At 35.6% G+C, this 22,932-nt stretch overlaps 1 long non-coding RNA gene across 4 annotated transcripts in view; it reads right to left on the bottom strand.

The window, feature by feature from the left end:
- The window catches only part of LOC105376941 (uncharacterized), a 28,394-nt gene extending 6,693 nt beyond the window's left edge, over window positions 1-21,701 (bottom strand). For 3 of the 4 annotated variants that reach the window (XR_001740586.2, XR_001740588.2, XR_001740589.2), the window contains exons 1-2: window positions 21,438-21,701; window positions 19,018-19,131 (exon numbers count right to left, since the gene is read on the bottom strand). This is a non-coding gene — a long non-coding RNA (uncharacterized LOC105376941). The remainder of the gene's footprint in view (window positions 1-19,017; window positions 19,132-21,437) is intronic. The other variant, XR_001740587.2, reaches the window with a different exon arrangement.
- Window positions 21,702-22,932: the final 1,231 nt, after the last annotated feature.

Here is a 22,932-nt window from a genome sequence, read left to right as displayed (position 1 = left end):
AAATTCAAGATAACACAGAAAAGAAATGCAGAACTCTATAAAATAAATTTTAAGAAGAGATTGAAATAATTTTTAAAAATCAAGCAGAAATTCTGGAGCTGAAAAATTCACTTGGCCAATTGAAGAATGCATCAGAGTCTCATTAGAGCTGATCAAGCAAAAGAAAGAATTACTGAGTTTGAAGAGAGACTATTTGAAAATACACAGTCAGAGGAGACAAAAGAAAAAAGAATTAAAAAGAATAAAGTGTGCCTAAAAGATTTAGAAAACAGCCTCAAAAGAGCAAATCTAAGAGTAATTGGCCTTAAAGAGGAGGTAGAGGGAGAGATTAAAGTAGAATGATTATTCAGAGATAATCATAGAGAACTTTCCAAACCTAGAGAAATATATCAATATTCAAATACAAGAAGGTTATAGAACACCAAACAGATTAAGCCCAAATAAGACACTTAATAATCAAACTCCCAAAGGTCAAGGATAAAGAAAGCATCCTAAAAACAGCAAGAAAAAAGAAATAAATAACATATAAAGGAGCTTCAATACATGTGGCAGCTGACTTCTCAGTGAAAATCTTTCAGGCAAAGAAAGAGGGTCATTATGTATTTTAAAGTGCTGGAGGAAAAAAAAAATTATCCTAGAATATCATACCTGGCAAAAATATCCTTCAAAGATAAAGGAGAAATAAAGACTTTCCCAGATAAACAAAAGCTGAGGGATTTTGTCAACACCAGGCCTGTTCTACAAGAAAGGCTAAAGCGAGTTTTTCAATCTGAAAGAAAAGAACATTAATGAGTAATAAAAAAATCAACTGAAGGTACAAAACTAACTAATAATACTAAGTATACAGACAAATACAGAATGTTATAACACTATAATTGTGGTATATAAACTACCCATATCATGAGTAGGAAGACAAAAAGACAAACCTATCAAAAATGATAATTATAACAGCTTCTTAAGACGTAACAGTGTAATAAGATAGAAATAGAAATAGCAAAAAGTTAAAAAGTAGGGGAGATGAAGTTAAAGTGTAGAGCGTTTATTAGCTTTGGCTTTGCTTGTTTCTTTGTTTGTTTGTTTGGTTGGTTTTCTAATTAGAGTTAAGTTTTCATCAGTTTAAAATAATGGGTAGAAAGATGTTATTTGCAAACCTCACGGTAACCTAAAATCAGAAAACTTTCAGCAGACCACAAAAAAATGAAAAGCAAGAAATTAAGTCATACCACCAGAAAAAAATCACTTCACACTAAAAAAGATAGGAAGGAAGAAAAACGTAAGGCAGGAAGGCAGGTAGGCAGGAAAGAAGGAAGGAAGGAAGGAAGGAAGGAAGGAAGGAAGGAAGAGAATACCAAAAAACAACCAGAAACCAAATAACAAGGAGGCAAGAGTAAGTCCTTACTTATCAATAATAACATTGAATGTAAATAGAGTAACTCTCTAATCAAATGACAAAAGGCTAAATGGGTTTTTAAAAATCCAACAATCTGATGGCTACGAGAAACACACTTTACCTAAAAAGACACACATAGACTGAAAATAAAGGTATGGAAAAAGATATTCCATGCTAATGGAAACCAAAAAAAAGGGAAGGAGTAGCTATACTTATATCAGATGAAATTAATTTCAAGACAAAAACTATAAAAAGAGATAACGAAATTATATAATGATAAAACAGTCAATTCAGCAAGAGGATTTAACAATTATAAATCCATGTATAACCCAACACTGAAACACTTAGATATGTAAAGCAAGTATTCAAGCCAAAGAGAGAGACAGACCCAAATACCATAATAGCTGGAGACTTCAACATCCCACTTGGACAGATCATGCCAACAGAAGATCAACAAAGAAATGTCATACTTAATTTGTACTATGGACCAAATGGATCTAATAGATAACTACCGAACATTTCATCCAATGGCTGCAGAATACATACTCTTCTCCTCAGCACATGGATCATTGTCAAGGATGGATCATATGTTAGGCCACAAATCAAGTCTTAAATTTTTTTTAATGGAAATTATATCAAGTACCTTCTCTGACTACAATTGAATAAAACTAGAAATTAATAACGAGAGGAGCTTTGGAAATTATACAAACGCATGGAATTAAACAATATGCTCCTGAATGACTAGTGGGTCAATGACAAAATTAAGAAGGAAATTAAAAGCTTTCTTGAACCAAATGAAAATGGAAACAGCACATACCAAAACCTATGGAATATAGCAAAAACACTACTAAGAGGTAAGTTAGTAGCAATAACTGCCTACATCAAAAAAGCAGAAAAACATCAAATAACAATGCATCTTAAAGAACTAAAAGAGCAAGAGAAAACCAAACCCAAAATTAGTATAAGAAAAGAAATAATAACGATCAGAGCAGAAATAAATGAATTTGAAATTAAGAAACCAATATAAAAGATCAGTAAAACAAAAAGTTGGTTTTTTGAAAAGATAAACAAAATTGACAAATCTTTAGCCAGCCTAAGAAGAAAAAAGACACAAGTAAATAAAATCAGAAATGAAAAGAGAGAGATTACAACTGAGATCACAGAAATTCAAAGGATCATTAGAGTCTACCAGGAGCAACCATATGCCAATAAATTGGAAACTGTGGAAGAAATGAATAAATTTCTAGACACATGTAACCTACCAAGATCGAACCATGAAGAAATCCCAAAGCCTGTTATTGAATAGGCCAGTAACAGGAAACGTGATTGAAGCCAAAATAAAACGTCTCCCAGCAAAGAAAATCCAGGACCTGATGGCTTCAATGCTGAATTTTATCAAACATTTAAAAAAGAACTAATATCGATCCTACTCAAACTGTTCCTAAAAATAGAGGAAGAGAAAATACTTCCAATCTGTTTATATGAGGCCAGTATTATCCTGATACTAAAACCAGACAAAGATGCATCAAAAAAACAAAAGCACAGGCCAATATCCCTGATGAACATTGATGTGAAAACCCTCAACAAAATACTAGCAAACCAAATACAACAACACATTAAAAAGGTTATTCATTATGACCAAGTGGAATTCATTCCAGAGATGCAAGAATGGTTAAACCTATGAAAATCAATCGATGTTTTGTTGATACATGATATCAACAAAATGAAGGACAAAAACACATGATCATTTCAATTGATGCTGAGAAAGCATTTCATAAAATTAAACATTCCTTCATGATAAAAGCCCTCAAAAAACTGTTCATAGAAGGTACATATCTCAACGCAATAAAAGTCACATATGGCAGACCCACAGCTAGTATCATACTGAATGGGGTAAAATTGAGAGCCTTTCCTCTAAGATCTGGAACAAAACAAGGATGCAAATTTTCACCACTGTTATTCAATGTAGTCCTGGAATTCTTATCTAGAGCAATTAGACAAGTGAAAGAAATAAAGGCATGCAAATGAGAAGAGAATAAGTCAAATTATCCTTGTCTACAGCCAATATGATCTTATATTTGGAAAAACCTGAAGACTCTAACAACAAAAAAACAAAACAAAAAACTATTAGAACTGATAAATAAATCCCGTAAAGTTGCAGGATACAAAATCAACATCCAAAAATCAGTAGCATTCTATTTGCCAACAGGGAACAATCTGAAAAAGAAATCAAGAAAGCAATCCCATTTATAAGAGCTACAAATAAAGTAAAATACCTAGGAATGAACTTAACAAAAGAAGTGAAAGATCTCTACAATGAAAACTGAAAAACATTGATACAAGAAGTTGAAGAGGACACAGAAAAATGGAAAGATATTCCACATTCATGAATTGGAAGAATCAACATTGTTAAAATGTCTATACTATCCAAATCAGCCTACAGATTCAATATAATCTTCATAAAAATACTAATGATATTCTTCACAGAAACAGAAATAACAATCCAAAATTTATATGGAACCAACAAAGACCCAGAATATTCAAAGTCATATTAAGCAAAAGAAACAAAACTAGAGGAATCACATTACCTGACTTCAAACTATGCAACAGAGATATGGTAACCAAAACAACAGGGTATTGGCATAAAAACAGACACACAGACCAATGGAACAGAATAGAGAAACCAGAACTAAATCCTTACATCTACAGTAAACTCATTTTCAACAAAGATGTCAAGAACATACACTGAAGAAAGAATAGTCTCTTCAATAAATGACACTGGAATATCCATAGGCAGAGGAATGAAACTAGATGCCATCTATCACCATATACAAAATAAAATAAAAATGGATTAAATATGTAAATGTAAGACCTCAAACTATGAAACTACTCAAAGAAAACACTGGGGAAACTCTCTGGGATATTTGTCTGGGCAAAGATTTGTTGAGAAATACCACATGAGTACAGCCAACCAAAGCAAAAATGGACAAATGAGTTCACATCAAGTTAAAAACCTGCAGAGCAAAGGGAACAATCAATGAAGTGAAGAGACAACCCACGGAATGGGAGAAAATATTTGCAAACTATCCATCTGACAAGTGATTAATGACCAGAATATGTGAGCTCAAACAACTCAACAGAAAAAAAAAATCTAATAGTCTGATTAAAAATGGGCAAAAGATCTGAATAGAAATTTCTCAAAAGAAGACATACAAATAACAAATAGATATGTGAAAAGGTGCCCAACATCATTGATCATCAGAGAAATGCAAATCAAAACTACAATGAGATATCATCTCACCTCAGTTAAAATAGCTTTTATCCAAAAGACAGGCAATAAATAAATGCTGGAGAGAACATAGAGAAAGGGAAACCCTCGTACACTATCAGTCGGAATGTAAATTAGTACAGCTACTATGGAGAATAGTATGGAAATTTCTCAAAAACTAAAATTACAGCTACCATACAATCTAGCAATCCCACTGCTAGGTGTATACCCAAAAGGAAGGAAATCAGTATATCGACAAAATATCTGCACTCCCATGTTTATTGTAGCACTGTTCACAATAGTTAAGATTTGGAATCAACCTAAGTGTCTGTCATCCAACAAACGGAAAAGTAAAAATGTGGTACTTGTACACAATGGAGTACTATTTAACTATAAAGAGGGATGAGATACCACCATTTGCAACAATATGGATGGAACTGGAGGACATTATGTTAGGTGAATTAAGCCAGGCACAGAAAGACACATTTCACATGTTCTCACTCATTTGTGTGAGCTAAAAATTAAAACAATACAACTAATGGAGACAGAGAATAGAATGATGGTTTCCAGAGGCTGGGAAGGATATTATGCAGGTAGGGGTGGAGGAAGTGAGGATGGCTAATGAGTACAAAAATATAGTTATAATGAATAATATCTAGTATTTGATAGCACAACGGGGTGACTAGAGTCAAAAATAATTTATTGAACATTTTAAAATAATGAAACGAGTATAATTAGAAAGTTTGCAACACAGAGAAATAACAAATGCTTGAGGTGATGGATACCCCATTTCCCCTGATATGTTTATTACACATTGTATGACTGTATCAAAACATCTCATATATCCTATATATATAAACACCTACTATGTACCCATAAAATTAAGAATAAATCTAAAAAAATCCATAATTCATGGGAGGAGGTCAAAATATTAACATCAATAGAAGTTTGGAAGAAGTTAATTGCAACCCTCATGGATGACTTTGAGGTGCCCAAGGCTTCAGTGGAGGAAGTAATGGCATATCTCGTAGAAACAGCAAGGGAACTAGAATTTGAAGTGAAATCTGAAAATGTAATTGGATTGCTGCAATCTCATGATAAAACTTGAATAGATGAAGAGTTGCTTCTTATGAATGAGCAATGAAAGGAATTCCTTGAGGTGGATCTACTCCAGGTGAAGATGCTACAAATATTGTTGAAATGAAAACAAAGTATTTAGAATATTACATAATTGTAGTTCTTCATAAAGTATAACAGGGTTTAAGGGGATTTTTTTTTTTTGCTTTTATTTTAGGTTAGGGGGTACATGTGAAGTTTTGTTACATAGGTAAACATGTGTCATGAGAGTTTGTTGTACACATTATTTCATCACCCGGGTATTAAGCCCAGTACCCAATAGTTATCTTTTCTGCTCCTCTTCCTTCTCCAACCCTGGCCCCAAAGTAGATCCCAGTGTCTGTTGTTCCCTCCTTTGTGTTCATGAGTTTTCATCATTTAGCTTCCACTTACAAGTGAGAACGTGCAGTACTTGGTTTTCTGTTCCTGTGTTAGTTTGCTGAAGATAAGGGCCTCCAGCTCTATCCATGTTTTCGCAAAAGGCATGATCTCCTTTTTTATGGCTGCATAGCATTCCATGGCGTATATGTACCACATTATCTTTATCCAGTCTGTCATTGATGGGCATTTAGGTTGATTCCATGTCTTTGCTATGGTGAACAGTGCTGCAATGAATATTCGTGTGCATGTGTTTTTATGGTAGAATGATATGGTTTAAGAGGATTGACTCCACTTTTGAAAGATATCGTACTGTGGGTAAAATGCTATCAAACAGCATCACATGTTGCAGAGCAATCTTTTGTGAATGAAAGAGTAAGTTCATGCAGCAAGCTTCATTGTTGTCTTACTTTAAGAAATTGCCTCAGTCACTCCAAACTTCAGCAACTATCACTGTAATCAGTTGGCAGCCATCAATACTGAGGCAACACCTGCCAAAAGATTAGGACTCACTAAAGGCTCAGATGATTGTTGGTACTTTTGGCAATAAGGCATTTTTAAATTCAAGTATGTGTATTTTTTAGACATAATGCTATTGCACACAATGCTATTACAATAGACTACCTTGTAAACATTTTATATGCACTGGCAAAGCAAAAAATGTGTGCAACTTACTATTGCAATATTTGCTTTATTGCAGTGGTCTGGAAGCAAATCATCAATATCTCCAAGAACTGGGAATATTACTACAGCGTTTGGAAACATTACCACTTTCTGAATGGACACAAGTACAGAAATCAAAAGCAATGTCCAGTAGGCATGTAGGTTTGATAATTAGATTGCCATTCTACCACATAGATGGGAAAACATGAGCACTTGTTCTGTCTTCCACAATGACCCTGTCCACTAATATGTGTGAATAGATGACATCAGTATTCTCTCCTCCTAAAGAGAAATGAGGGAGGAACAGAACAGAGGTCAAAAAAGGGGCAGAAGAATTTGGGGATCAGGAAAAGGGGGTAAGGGATCACCTTCCCCATGTAAGTCTGTATTATTTCAATTTCTAGAAAAAGACTAGAAGAATAATGTTTTTATCGTGTTTTTGTTTTTTTAAATCTATCCAACTGTTAAAACGCAGCTTAAATATTTTTCCCCATGGAATTCATACTAGTTCTTTCACTTAGATATGTTCTTATGATTTTTCATTCCTATAAAATGTTAATGTACAGCGTATACATCTCTTAAGAGATTATTCCTATTCTACTCTAGGTTATGGATATTGATGAAGATGAATTTTTCCCCATCATCTGTTCAGATGAGTTTGTCCAAGTACTAAGTAATAATTGCCACAATAAGAATAAGGACACATAAACAAGTTAATAACTGAATATATCCCCACCATCACTTGTACTATTAACTCATATTCCAGTGTGGAATAAAGATGGTACATAGTCACAAAACAGTGTGAAACTGTATGCCACAGCTAATTCAAAACAGGATTTAGAGTTTCAGTCTGCAGAATTGATGAAGAGGTAGTTACTATGCATAAGCCAGGGGTAGGTTTATTTGCTGTTGTTTGATGTTTGGATCTTGGCTATAAGAAGACGAAACCAATTTTGTGATGTTTATGCTATTTTATTTTGCTTTTTAAACAGAGTCTCAATGCCAGTATCTTCCCTTAGTAATCACAGTCTCTCGTTTTATTATTTTGGATTTCTCTTTAACACTGATGCTCTTATTAAACTATTTTTATTTTTATTTGCAGTCTTGCTTCTAGAATAGGGGACAGTATATACAGTCCATAGGCTTGTAGCCTATTTTTTAAAATAAAGTTTTATTTGAATATAACTATGCCTATAATTTATGTATTGCCTATGTCTGCTTTTGTGCTATAACAGCAAAATTGAAGAAGTTGTGATGGAGGTCATAAAGCCAGCCCATAAACCTAAAATTCTTACTCTCTTGCTCTTGAAGAAAAGCTTGCTGACCCCTGCTCTAAACAAGGAATCTATGAGGGTGAAAACTACATCTTGGTAAACTTTGTAATCTCAGCACTATGCACAGGAACCGAGGACTCTTGAACAGAGATCCACCACATGTACATGGATGCATTTACCCCACAGAATTGCCTCATAAATTGCGTATGTGTTATTGTGCATATTCATTTGCACATGCACATTTATGTTTATTGGGAAAGATTTCTAGCTTGCTCTTAATCTCAAAAGAGAATAGGACAGGTCAGCAACTATCAAATCAAGCCTCCCATAGACAAAAAGTATGAATTCTGGATATAAAACAAAAATGAACTCCCTGAAGGCCCTAAAAGTGAACAAGAGCAGGCAGATTCTGGGAAGGATGAGAAGAAATCAAAACCTGGAAGAAAGGAACAGCACTCAACGTTCTCTCTTTCTCTCTCTAGCTTTTAAACTATCCACAGTAAGAGCCAAGAAAGGAGTCTAAAACTCTGATTGAAAAACCCATGATTGAAAACCCTGAAGAACAAGAGGACAAATTATTTTGGGACATCTACAGTATCTGGAAAGTGAGGTGAAAGAGATCGTGGAAAGAAGACAGGAGGACAAATTATTTTGGGATATCTACAATATCTGGAAAGTGAAGTGAGAGGGATCACAGAAAGAAGAGAGCTAGAAAAGAAACACCAAAATTCTCTGCCCAATCTCTGGCTCAGCCCCAAACCACACACGTGTGGGGCAAACACAAAGCAACCAACTTTCAGATAAAATAATTGAGTTTTCAGCTTTTAACCAAGAGGCAGAGTATTCACTTTGAGCCCAACCAAGTTAACTGTCTGCCAAAGCAAAATTTAATGCTCTTCTGAGGAATATAACAGAATACAGAAACTACAATATATGACTTCCACAACGTTCAGGATAAAATTAGAAATTACTCAACATGCAAAGAGACAGGACTGTAAGACTAACATTTAAAACAAGAAAATCATCCAAATTATCTAAATTTTGGAATGAGCAGACAATTACAATGAAGCAGCTATTATAACTATGCTCAGTGAGGCAAAGGAAAATATGCTCATAATATGCAAAAAGTTGATAATTCTCAGCAGATAAGGGCAAATGATAAAACCCAATGTAACTTCTAGGACTGATTAATACACTATTTCAAAGGAATATGTGGCTCTCTCCTAAAAATTAAACTTCACTACCTACCAGGTCACTGTTGATTTCATTTGAGAAACTTGAGTTTGGGTTTCTCTAAAGGAACATGTCATAGTAGAAAGAAACAGTCCTGAAACAGCAATTGAACTAAAGATTTAGAATAGTAAAAAAAAGCAACGAGTTGTTGCCTAAGCAAATTGACCTTAAACAAGTCTATTTATCTTATTTTTCTTAGCTGAAGAAGGGGGATAATAATGGTATTCCTAATATTCCAAGCATAGTTTCTATAACATGGTAACACTTATTGTATTATCTGTAATGATAATGATGATTGTTTTTAATTGTGTTCTGAAAGTGCTTCTTTTTAAAACAGGAGTATCTAGGGAGATGACACATCCTAGCCGGGTTTTGGATGTTACCTAAGAGGACAGAGGCCAGGACCCAAGAGTAAAGTAAGCAAAAGAGAAACTTCCAAAGGCATAGATCCTATTTCTAAAACTCAACTCAGAATGCTCTATAGAATTTTTCCGGTACTAATTAGCTTTTGACATCTGTGCCTCTCCTCTCAATTTAATGTGAATAGTCTTTGTCAAATGATTCCACTAAAGTGTCTCGTTAACACTAAAATAGTGGTGAAATGATTAATTTCTAGGTACTGACTTGAATAACATTAATCTTGTTGAAATCATTTGGTATGAATGTGACTGTCATATATATTTTAAAAAACAGAAAGCAACTGATTGTTTTTGATCTGTCATGTCACTGCATTTGATGTTTGAAGGAACTGTGGGGTCTGCTCTCTTGGGAGGCATATCCCACATGTTTGACACACTGATAGCAGTTGTAATTGTCGTGCAGAGGGAGGGAAATCAGAATTTTTAACTGCAATCAAGAAGTTCTCTCCCAACCTTCCTCCCCCATAGGAACTGAGATGTATATTCAGAACATAAATTGCAATAATCTCCTGCTATTAACCTCAGGCAACTGTTCCAAAATGCAGCTTAAATAATGGAAATATTTAACATATGATACTAAGTGTGGAAACAAGATTGTCTTTCTGCCCTCACACTCATAGTTGCAACAACAAAAAAGAGACTTCTGAAAGCTAAATAATGAGGTGTGTACATGTTAAATTTGAAAAGGTAGGGATCACCTGTGGGACATATATTTATCAGGTTATGCTTATATATTTGTGCTTATTATAATAGGTAGCAGGAGCATCATATTATCAAGCTCCCCCTAACAAGTAGGGGTAAAGAATTAAGTTTTAGAAAACTTATTAGCCACATATCTACTATGTCATATACAAAAATTTGAATTAATCCTCATAAGCATCCAGGTAAGATAGGTATTATCGTTTTCATTTCAAACTGGGGCTACTGGCTGGGCCCAGTGGTTCACACCTGTAATCCCAGTACTTTGGGAAACTGAGGCAGGTGGGTCACTTGAGCCCAGGAGTTCAAGACCAGCCTGGCCAACAAGGTGAAACCCTGTCTATACCAAAAATACAAAAATTAGCCGGGCATGGTGGCATGCACCTGTAATCCCAGACACTCAGGAAGCTGAGGTGGAGGATCACTTGAACTCAGGAGGTGGAAGTTGCATTGAGCTGAGATCACACCATTGCACTCCAGCCTGGACGACAGAGCAAGACCCTGTCTCAAAAAAAAAAAAAAAAACTGGGACTACTGAGTCTCAAAGAAATTTACATAGATTAAAAAAGTATTATTGTAGCCTAGGAGACAGATTACAGTAACCTGAATTTAGAAAATGGCAATAAGGCCTATTACCAGTACATTCTCAATAACTTATTATGTGATCACTGTGCAGGGTCATTAGCAAATAAGAGCTGGAAAAATTTTAAAACTCAATTGTGAAGTTATATATAAACATGAGTACAAATACACAGACATAGCAGGAACCTTGTTTTTTATCTTTTTATCAAAGCCTTGAGAATTGAAGAAATGTGTTTATTTTTGTCACTGCAAAAATCAGTGGCTACAAAGAGTTGATGAAGGCCCTGAGACCGTGGTAATTCCTTTATAAACTATTTGATTACATATTTAGATATAACCCAGCTACTGGAAGATCACTGTTAAAATTTTCAATTATTTTGATTTAAAAACAACAGTTATCTTTTTTGTTACCTTTTACTATTTGTCAGGGACTGAGATCTGAGATGAGCATTTTACCTACCTTTTGTAATTTAACATGTATACCACCACCAAAAGGGAAGGGATTAGAATTCCCACTTTGGAGATGACATAGCTGAAGCTCAGGGAGGTCAAAGAACTTTTCAAGCTCATAGAGATAGTAAGTAGCAAACCAAAGATTAAATTTTATGTAGTCTCACTACAAAAACCTCCGTTCATAAATTCTGCCTCCCTCTGAGTGGGAATTGGTTTTGCATTTAATCTAGAGAGCAGGCGTTGACCAAAGAGAGTGAGAGAAGAGTAAGAAGATAGCAGCCCCAAAAAGAAAAACTATCTTCCATAATTAAGACCTTAGGAACACGGAAATCAACCCTCTGTGGCATAACTATTTGCCAAAATAAGACAGGATGTATAACTACCCCTGAAGGGCAACAGAAACCATAATATGCTGGATACTCTTATTATCCCTGTCTTATACTGGTCAAACATAATACCACCTGTGGTATTATGTCCAGTTTGGAGCATAATAGAAAATATTTTTGTTAATCTATAACATGCCCAGATTAATGTCCCCAGGTTGACAGACAGGTGCTCAAACCCAATGATGGTATATGGAGAACACCTGAGTAGGGTGGGAATGCTTAAATCTGAGAGGAGATAGTTTGGTTAGGGTGGTACAGAAGGAAGATTATGAAAGCATGAGACGTGTTTTTAATTGTAATGTGTGGATATGCAAAAAAGAATGATTTAATTTATTCTGTTTATATACAAAAGGTAAAACATATCACTCTAGGTAGAAATTTCAAGATGGCTGGATTCAACTCAACATTAACACCTCTTTGTAAGTACAACGTTTCCATCATGGAAGACTGACTCTTAAGATTCTGTTTACCCCATCGTGTGAGGTATGCAGTAAGACAGACCATAAGTCTCGTGCTGAACATGATATAGTAAAGATTCTTATTTAGATAAATTCAAGCTTCTTACTTCCAAATTCATAAAATCATGTTAAAATACCCACGAGGTGGTTGGAAATCTAATGAAGTGGTTGAAATCTGGCTTTTCTCATCAGAAGATTCTGGTCTTACAGTTTCTGATTATGTGAATTTGGGAAAATTATTTAATTTCTCTGAGCCTCAGTTTATTCATCATATAAAACTTGTATCATAGTGCCTCCCAGGATTATTGTGAGGAATAAAGTAGATCATCTATGTAAACGCTTAGCACATTTCTTGACATATTATAAACACAGCAATAAATTGGAGATTTGTGTACTCAAGAGTGGTGTTAACCATTATATGCATTCTCATTTTACAAATAGAGAAATTGAGCATCAGAGACATAAATGACAGAGGTGAGGTCCAAATCTGAAACAACTGCCTTCAACTATCCTTTGATAGACCAATACCAAATAGCTAATGTTGACCTTGAGGAAATAGCGTAAGTTAATCATTCATTCCAAAGTTATATTTTTTTTAAGATCTAGAATGTCTCAGGATATTTTAGAGGTACTGAAAGAAAAAAAAAAGAAAATTGTTGCCCTTAAGTTGCTCATAGTTTACCTAGAAAGAGAGGCAATTAGAATATAGTATGATAAGGACAGAAATGGGGGAACCTGTAAGATATAATGGAATCCCATAGTACACGAGATAGATCTGCTGGGTGAGGGTTGTGAGGTGACTTCTGGGGTCAAGAGCCCATAGTATAGGTTAACAAATGGGAACAGAAGACAGAGACCTGAGACTGCCTTTGTTAATATGACTAAATTATCTCCAGGAAATTATCATTCAGGAAGATAAGATTTTAAACAAGTAAGAAACTTCAGAAAATGATTGCAATTCAATTTATCTTAGCAAATGGTGGGCTCATATGGACATTAGATAGCTCTTCTCTCAGAAAAACAGTTTCATTATCTGGGCAAACTATTCATTATCAGACAAGAATTTACTTATCAAGACTCATTTAAGAGCCTCACCTTAAAGTGTTCAGCAACTCCAAATTATTATTCTAATACAAATTTTACCCATTCTCAATCATTGCTCTTTCTTGAAAGATCTAGCTTGAACCTCTTGATTCTAGACCTCAAAACCTTGAAACTGATCTTCTCTGACCTCAGTTGTCTAAAGCACTTCTAAGATTCTGTCAAGGTGGTGTTCTGCCCTACTGCAGTAAATCTAATAAACTCAGCTTTGCTTTATCAACAGGCTTTTTGGTAGGTTTCTGGACAGCTGAGCAATCAACAAAGCTCTGGCTCAACTGTTGACAGAGCTTAGGACAAAGTTCATACAGAGGAAAAGTGATATTCTTTGTTTTGGTGCTGAATCTGAGGAAGGTCACTTTACTGAAGCTTATAAGGCACACATTTCTTATAATTACTGTCTTTATCTTCATAATAAAAAAGGCTTCTCCCCATTATAGCATATTGGCATGTTGGTTATTACACCTGTTTATGCTCTCTATATAATAGCACCTTACCTGGTATGTCTCGAATCAGTAATGCATTGCAGCTAGGTATATAAATGAAGAGTTAAGGAAGGGTTTCTCTAAAAGCAGTTGATGTCTATGGAAGGCCCCAGACTGTCCTTGAACTTTTTAGGACTAGAAAGGGTCCAATTAATGTATTTACTTTCTACAACAACTTTGGTGCTTCGGAAGAATAAAGAGTAGCTATAAAATTATGCAACAAGACTCTGTGGAGCATATTTGTAATGTGATTTGAAGAGTAGATCCTACGTGGCATTCTTTAGACTTTCCAGTTGCCTTAACCATATCTCTCCATTTCCAGTTGGATTTAAAGAGCTTAAAAATGTGTACCAGGTACCACAGATTAAAGCTAGCTCAACACCTGAGGGATAATTCTCCTGGGTCTGGCTCCTTGAAGTCATGTTTACTTTACAAATTAGTGAGAAATGATCAGGGACATCTGCATGGCTGTGTAGGCTGCTCCCTGCATATGGTCACCCAATTTGCGGAATAGATGGGGGCTGAAATCCAGACTACAGTTGGATCACCAATGTGCACACCCTAGCAAAGGGATGCATCTACCTGGAGGCAGCACCTGACTTTTATAACTCACACAAAAGTGCCACATGGACTAATATAGACTTGGCTGTGATAGTGACTGCATTTACATTGCTACACTAACACCCAGGGTAGCAAGAGGTCCAAACCTGAGGGTGCTCAGTCACAATTATGTGCTTAAAACGTTTAGCATCTTGCGAATGTGATAAAGTAAACTAACGGTGATACTATAAAGTAGAGTATAGTTCAAGTCCTAAAAGGTGTACAGACAAATGCTACTGAACACTCTGAGGGTGACATATATGCTTTATGCGCAAATGTCAGTTCTCAACCAAACTGTCTCATAATTATGCATTAACATTCCAAAGAATCCCCATGACTTTTCACTTCAGCCTTCTTTAGTTTGATGTTGTTGATGCTCTTCTGCACGTTGCCTCTATCCAGGTGCATTCAATATATTACAATTAACAGGTAATTGGAAAAAGCAAAAGTCTCTGGCTTATATCCTCCAATAAGAGGAGACTCCTCTTGACACTTGTTATACAAACATCCTAAATATTTGGAGGAGAAAAATCCTCAAAGGTTTTTAAGTTTTTAGCATGACAGAGATCATAGGTAGAAATTCATAACACAGTCACCATTATTGCTAATTCCAGGTGATATTGCTTTCTCTTTAGTTATGTTGTAACTTTATTGTTTGATGAATGTAATATACATTTATATGAAACTTCTTTTTTTTTTTTTTTTTTTTTTTTTTTTTTTGAGACGGAGTCTCGCTCTGTCGCCCAGGCTGGAGTGCAGGGGCGCGATCTCGGCTCACTGCAAGCTCCGCCTCCCGGGTTCACGCCATTCTCCTGCCTCCGCCTCCTGAGTAGCTGGGACTGCAGGCGCCCTCCACCACGCCAGGCTAATTTTTTGTATTTTTAGTAGAGACGGGGTTTCACCGTGTTAGCCAGGATGGTCTCGATCTCCTGACCTCATGATCCGCCCGCCTCGGCCTCCCAAAGTGCTGGGATTACAGGCGTGAGCCACCGCGCCCGGCCTATGAAATTTCAATTTTAGATCGTTTCCAAATTTGATTCTTCAACTTACACAAAAATGTCTGTATATTTTTTAAATTATTCAGTCTCTCATTTTCTTATAAAGGTTGCTTTTAAAAAAGCAACCTTTAACATTTGTGGAGAACTAACCATACTTGAAAATTAATAAGAAATTCTGCTTATGCTCCTTAAAGCAACATTAATCATAGTTTGATCAAGAGGTGAGGGACTGAAGAAGTCAATGTCTTGTTTTAAGTGGAATGCTGTTCTGACTCTCTGTAAGAACTATCCATTATTGTACTAATTTTTCCTCCCTATAATCCAGAGAAATATTCTAGAAGAATTGATCAATTTTAGCAAAAAAAAAAAAAAGAGATTTGTCCTATAGGTCCACTGTGAAGAATGTTGTAATTTCATATCAAATTGATTTTATGGGGCAACTGCAAGTTTGAAGTTTTCTAAACACCTACAAGAGATGGCAGCAGAATTAAGAAGCCAGACCTCACAGGAGAAGGGGTAATTAAAAAATGGAGGGAAGGGATCCAGAAAAGAAGGACACGTGGGAGTTTCGAGAGAGACAGGATGGACACAGACAGAGGGCACATTTGAGCAGTAAAGAAATATTTAAACTATCCTCTGGATTTTTAGATTATATAAGAAATACAGCACTCTTTCCAGTAATGGATTGAGCCAGGTATCTTTCTAGCTGTTATGAGGGATGATGACAGAACAGCTCTTCATAGGGCAGAGTGTGACTACAGAAGAAATATTAGACCAAACTTGTTCAGCATTGATTACTGCCCCTGCTGGCTTTGTTCCTGCCTTATGTGATACATCTTGGGTCCAGCCAGAATCTTGGGATGTTGCAGCAACATCAAATGGCAAGAAAAGCCTTGCCAGAAAGTCTAGAGTTTCCTGTTACACGGGCAGAAGTTGCTGTTATTGGAGCCTGAAAGTACAGAAATGGTGGTATAGTCGGCCACCGGCAGACTTCCAAGAAAGTCAGAGTATGGGTGTTTTGATCAGCTCTACTACAATGCATTCTGGTAGAAGAAAAGGATCCTAACAAAGTCTAAACCTGACATGGGTGACAGAATGAAGGCAAAAGAAAGTAGGCTAGCATGTTAAATATTTAATATCTGTTGAATTGCTTTTGATCTCTCAATCACAGTGGCCAGTTAGCTGTTTGCCATGCTCTTTTTAGCATTCCCCCCAGTATTTTCTTAATAGTTCCTTTTTCTCTGATATTAATGTATCACATATTCAAAATAAAAAATGGGGGAAATATTGACAAGCATAATGTAAAACACAAATCAACTTTGAGGTAAGCAGTGTTAAAATTTGTGCATTTTTTTCTAGTTTCCATGTACATATTTTTTCAGCACAATTGTTATCTTGAATATGCACTTTCATAACCTGTGTTCATATCAGGCCACTTAGGAGGATTTTCCCATTTTTAAAACAGTATTTTAATGTCTACAAAACATCTCATGCTACCATTTACCATAAATTACCTAAAACTTCTATTTGGGAGACACTTAGGTTGTTTTCAAATTATGATTATGAGTTACATTAAAATAATTCTTTCTTATACATCAATTTAGAACTTATCTCTGAATAATTTCTTGGAATAAATTCCTAAGCTAGGACAACTGTTTCTGAGAACACGGTCATTTTTAAGCTTGTTAAACTCGGAGATTGGTTCATTAAAGCCAAATAGTACCATTGAGTATAAATTGGAAACAACTCAGCAGTGCCCAGAGTCCCTCTTTTCAAGAGAGGATGACCAAGCTCAAAGTACCGTAAGTATTAACTCCTATTTCTTTTTTTTTTTTTTTTCTGAGACGGAGTCTCACCCAGGCTAGAATACAGTAGCACGATCTCCACTCACTGCAACCTCCGCCTCCCAGGTTCAAGAGATTCTCCTGCCTCACCCTCCCAGTAGCTGTTAACTCATATTTGTATGTTCATTTACAAAATATGGCATTGTGAATCCATACAGATACTAACTAGGAATACTTTTCTGATTGTTTTGGTAGAGTTGTTCTCTTATTTATTTGTTTGTTTTCATAAAGCCAACCGAATATGAACTTTCCTTCTAGCTTATAATAGTTATATCAGAGCAGCTTGGTCTGTCTGCTCAGAGATGTCTATGCAGGACATGGACAGCTTCGCACATGACATATATCAATTAAGTGCCTACTCTTTGACAGGTAGTTTCACATATATTACTTCAGAGATTCCACCTTAGCACTGTACTTCCAAAAATATGGGCCAAGACTGAGCAAGGTGATGGTGAATTCATTAGGAGGTCTTAATGAAGGCTTCAGGCTCATGGTCATGGAAGTAGGCAAAAGCAGCATGGTGAATACTTCTTACAAACGCTCACCTTCATGTCTTCCTCTGGCCTTTGCAAGGCTTCTAGCCTGCCCCTTATACCCTTCATTTCCTGCCTTTGGATTTCATTAGTGCTATAACATGGGGCTCAGGTAGAACCACTCTTAACTCCCCAGGCTGAAAACACAAGTGACATGGAAACATAGTGATTGATGCCTGTGGAGCCACCCTTAACCAATGGAGTATTGGAATCAACAAATAAATGCTTCCCTTTCTTCTCCTGGGCAGATGACTGTAAGGATTTTCTGAAGACTCTGGCAAGATTGAGCACCAGTCTCTCAGAAAGGAGGTCTAAGGAGCCATCTCAAAAAATCAAAATGGAATCTTATTGGCCTTCCCTGCTTTCTAAAGGATTATATTCCCAAACAAATTACCTGTATGCAAACATTTGTCTCAGGCTCTGTATTTGTCAGGAGCTAAGCTAAAGCAAACAATATGCCTGAATGAGTCTGAAAGTAAAAGAAGTACATCTTCATTGGTCACTTTTCCTTTACAGCAGCCTTTCATGCATCTCTATCTCTGCTTGTCTTTCCCTATCTCTGTCTGTCTCTCTTTCCCATTTTCTCTCACTCTCACTCCCACTCTTTCTTGCACTTTCTATTTTCTCTTTCTACACACACACACACACACACACACACACACACACACATACACATTCAAAAGAATGCTAATGGGTTACCAGAACCCCCACAGGCCCCTGGGAAATTAGCAAAATTGAAGGTTAGCATAAAATGGTACAGCAGAAATCATTTTCCAAATGTTGACGATCTAAGTAGTTTTCAAAGTTTGGTTTGCATACCCTGGGAGTTCCCAGAACCCTTTCATGGGGTCCATGAGGTCAAAACTACTTTCCTAAAAATATTCAGACGGTCGAAGCCTTTTTCGCTGGTTGACATTTTTATTAATTGGTGCAAAAGCTATGGTGGGTAAGACTACTGTTGCGTTAGCACAAATCAAAACACTGAAACTAAACCATACTACTATTCATTGTATTCTGCACCAAAATGCACTTGCAATTTTTTTTCAGTGCCAGTTTTGCCTAAGATTGTCCTTGACAAAGCAGTAAAAGTTGTTAAATCTTAACCCTTGAGTACACCTGTTTAACATTTAAGTCACATACCTGGAAGTAATATCCTTTCATATACTTCTGCATAATGAAATGTGATGGTTATCTTGAGAGAAAGCTCTTCTACCTGGCTGAAATGGCTGCCTTTCATGTGGAACATCAATTTTACTCAAAAGAACAATAGACAGAGTACGATTATTCAGCATTGTGCATTTGACAGATATTTTCTAAAGATAAATAAATAAATAAAGTGAGCCTGTCACTTCAAGGAAAAGGTGAACAGTGTTTGGCACCAGTTATAAAATTGAGCCTTAAAGTCAAAATTAGAACATTGGAAATCTCTGCCACTATCAGCATGACAGCTTCCCGAAACTTAAAGACTTTTCTGATGAATTTAGTTGTGGTGTTAACAACTGTGGATTTCTGAAATTGTATAATGAAATATGTCAACATTTGAAAGATGTTAACACAGATGATCTTCTTGACCAAACTTTAGTCAGGACCCTCTGAGCCCTCTTCTCAATTAATCCTCAGCCTTGGCTCCCATTCTTGCCAGGCCTGCACAGCCCAGTTTTTGCAAAAATCCTGCTAAGTCAGTTTAATGAGAATCACCCCACTGATGTTTAAGTCTTTGACCTGCTTTCAGTAAGAATCCTGTTAAGTTGGTTTAGCAAGACTCTCCCTATTCTTGATGTCTCCTCTTAGTAATTTTCCATGCACAGACTCTGCCTGTTGGCTGTAAATCCCCAACTGTCTTGCTGTATTCAGAGTTGAGCTCTGTCTTGCCTTCCTATTACAATAGTCTTGACAATGTGCATAACAGAGTGAACCAATATCCTTCAAAATATCAATGCATGATGCTGTAAACTGTTTATGGGTAAAAGGACCACTTAAAATATGAGGAAGATAAAAGATTAATAAACCAGAGCTCAAAAAGTTCATTGATAATATTTCAGATTCCACATTGCAACTAACATTTAAGAAAGTACCACTTGTCAAGTTTTGTTATAGTATCAAAGAAGATCATCCACAATTATCTATGCACAGGATATTAAAATACTCATCTCCCTTGTTCAGCTACTTACGCATGTGAGGCCAGGTTTTATTCCTATACATCAGCCAAAATAACATATTGAAATAAATGTAATGCAGAAGCAGATGTGAATCTAGCTGGCTTCTATTAAGCCAGCCATTAAAGAAATCAAAAAAAAAATATGAAACAATGCCACTCTTCTAATTTTTGCTTTAGAATATTGAAGTTTTATTTCTAATATAACTGTTATTAATGTTAGCATGTAATAGGTTTATAAGAATTACAAAAAATATATTTCTTGTCAAATTTAATTTTTAATTTGGTAAATATCAATAGGCATGATTCACATGAACTAAAGTTCTTTAGGTTCCACAGTAATTTTCAGGAGTATAACAGATATTGTGAAAACAACACTTGGGCGTAGCTTATCTAATGTATCAGGGGTTTAACACTCTCTATCAGTGATTAATAGTTCTTTTCTTTGAAAAGAACAAACTGACAAATCGGGTCATTGTTATTGCATTGATGTTGGTTACAACAAGAAAATATGTTTAGGTTTCTAGAATAAAATATCAAGCTTTCAAAAGGAGGAGACAAGGGGGCAATACATGCCAAGAAAAATAGACCTGGCCTTGGGAAATCTAATCACCAAATCAAATTGAATTCACTTGATCTCACTATACTATCCCAGGACATAAAAGTGTTATTGTTTTTTCAAATGAAAGATAATTAAGTTAATTTGAATTTGGGTTAATACTAAAATGAATTTATGATACCCAGTAAATATACTGATCACCAGAATTATGTTTCAAGAGGTTGCTTTCATCGGGTTAATAAAATGTATTATTAACATTTCTAGAACTTTTTAACAAACCTCAAACAATAGAAAAATCAAATCACTTTCTCTCAATGAGCGTAAAATCTTAGACTATGTCTTTTCCAAAAATATTGCACTACACACACTCTAACAGATATCTGTGATTTCATATTCATAGAAAACCACCATAGAATCTTGAATGTCTACATATATAAAGAAAGATGATTCTCTTTATATATGTTCAGATTTCAGAAAGTCCTGAGGAGTCCAAACCATAAAAATAGCACAATCTGAAGCATAAAGAATACATGATCAGAGCTCTATGTAAGATGATTAAGAGATTACTTTTGTGTGGGATCGATGCTGCTTGAAATATATTCTAGGGCAACCTCTCCATGAGACTCACTCTCTCAGCTTCTGCAGTTCTGCAGGTGAAGTCCAGAGTACAGACTCCACTTTAGAGATATGGGCAGAATTGGCACAGTTAAAGAGAACCACTTGGGCTCGGTATTGAAAAAATTCAAAATTAGCTATTATTTCCTGTAGTATCATGACTTCTCAACATTCAACACTGGTCTATTAAATATTTCAATCTTTGTACATAATAAAACCATTTTAAAGTACCTGTTTATATTCTTGATGTTATCACACCCTAAAGAAATGGGACGTGTAGTTGGTTGCTTACTGGGGCAAGCTGTAGGAGACAATGAGAGAGTCTTTGATGTTCCGGGCACATGGGACTCTGTAGCATGTGCTTAAGGGATCTCCAACTTTACTCACCCTGGCCTGATTTGGTCTGTGTTTAAGACAGAAGACTTACAGTCAGTTAGGTTGATGCAACACTAAAATTAGTCACCAATGTTCCTGAACTTTATTTGTAACAGCAGAGAGTAGTAATACCTGAAATGTCCAACATAGGAAAATCATTAAGCAAACTGCAGGAAAATTCTGTGGTGGAATAGCATGTAGCCATTAAAAATGATGCTAGCAAAATATTTTTAATATTATTAGGATAAAGGTACATAATAACATTAAATAAGAGTAGAAAAACCCCACATGTATGAAAATCTAAAATTTATACAAACTATACAGAGGTGAAATAGTCCCTTGATATATGTCAAAACCTCAACATTAATACATCATTGAGGATCCTTTGATTATAAGCATCAGAAACCAATGCTCTTGAAAATGTAAATGAATGTACTAAAAAAATTGGGTATCTCATTGAATCTAAGGAAGGGTAGGAATACAGTCATTATCAAGAAACTGAGTAGGAGGAATTATGGACAAGTTCTTCAAGGGTTTTCTTAAAATGCTTCTTTTCTAGCCATTTTCTGTTCTTAAGATTCAGTTCCTCGTAGGGACATTCTGAGTGGATGAATGTGGGTCAAGTACCTACTTCTCAGCCAGAGAAAAAAGAGGTAATTTGATTGGCAGCACTACCAGAAAATACATGGAAGAGAGGAAGGAATAGTGGATTAAGAAAATGAAGCATGTTGTTTACTACAGAAGAGAAAATGAAGCATATTGTTTACTACAGAAGAGAAAAAGTTATTGGGCATATTAAAACTGCCTGTCCTGCATGTATGTATATAATGACCCTAATAACAATAGCTACCATTTGTTAAACACTATAATCTCAATACTTTGTTTTCTCTGCTTACATGAATGTTCTCATTTAAATTTCTCAACACTTAAAGGTGGATTTTCTTATTAATCTCAATTACATAGGTGAAAACTGATGCTCAGAAAGGTTAAATAAATTGCCTAGTGTCATACAACAAGAATGTGGTATCTCTGGAATTTGATCTATGGCTTTTGGCTGACCAGCTATACAGTCCAATAATTTGCCTGAATAGAATACACTATAGATAATGATGTATTGTCATCACCACTGTAGTGTTAATTTCTTCCAGTGCTACTTCACTCAAACAAATGATGAACTAAAGATTGGGGCCTAAAGCCCTTCTCCTAAGCAATACTTCTATAATCTGTTATCTAAGAAAAATAAGTTTATCTCTGAATATAGCTAGAAATAATCAAACAAGAGCAATCTGGAAGTATCCACTCAAAAATATTTGAATTTTAGTTTAACACCATATATCAAGCACATTTCAAT

The sequence above is a fragment of the Homo sapiens genome, chromosome 3 (genome assembly GCF_000001405.40).
Source record: "Homo sapiens chromosome 3, GRCh38.p14 Primary Assembly".
Lineage (NCBI taxonomy): Eukaryota > Metazoa > Chordata > Mammalia > Primates > Hominidae > Homo > Homo sapiens.
Note: the sequence above shows the minus strand (reverse complement) of the source record. Positions and strands in the feature narration are given on the sequence as shown.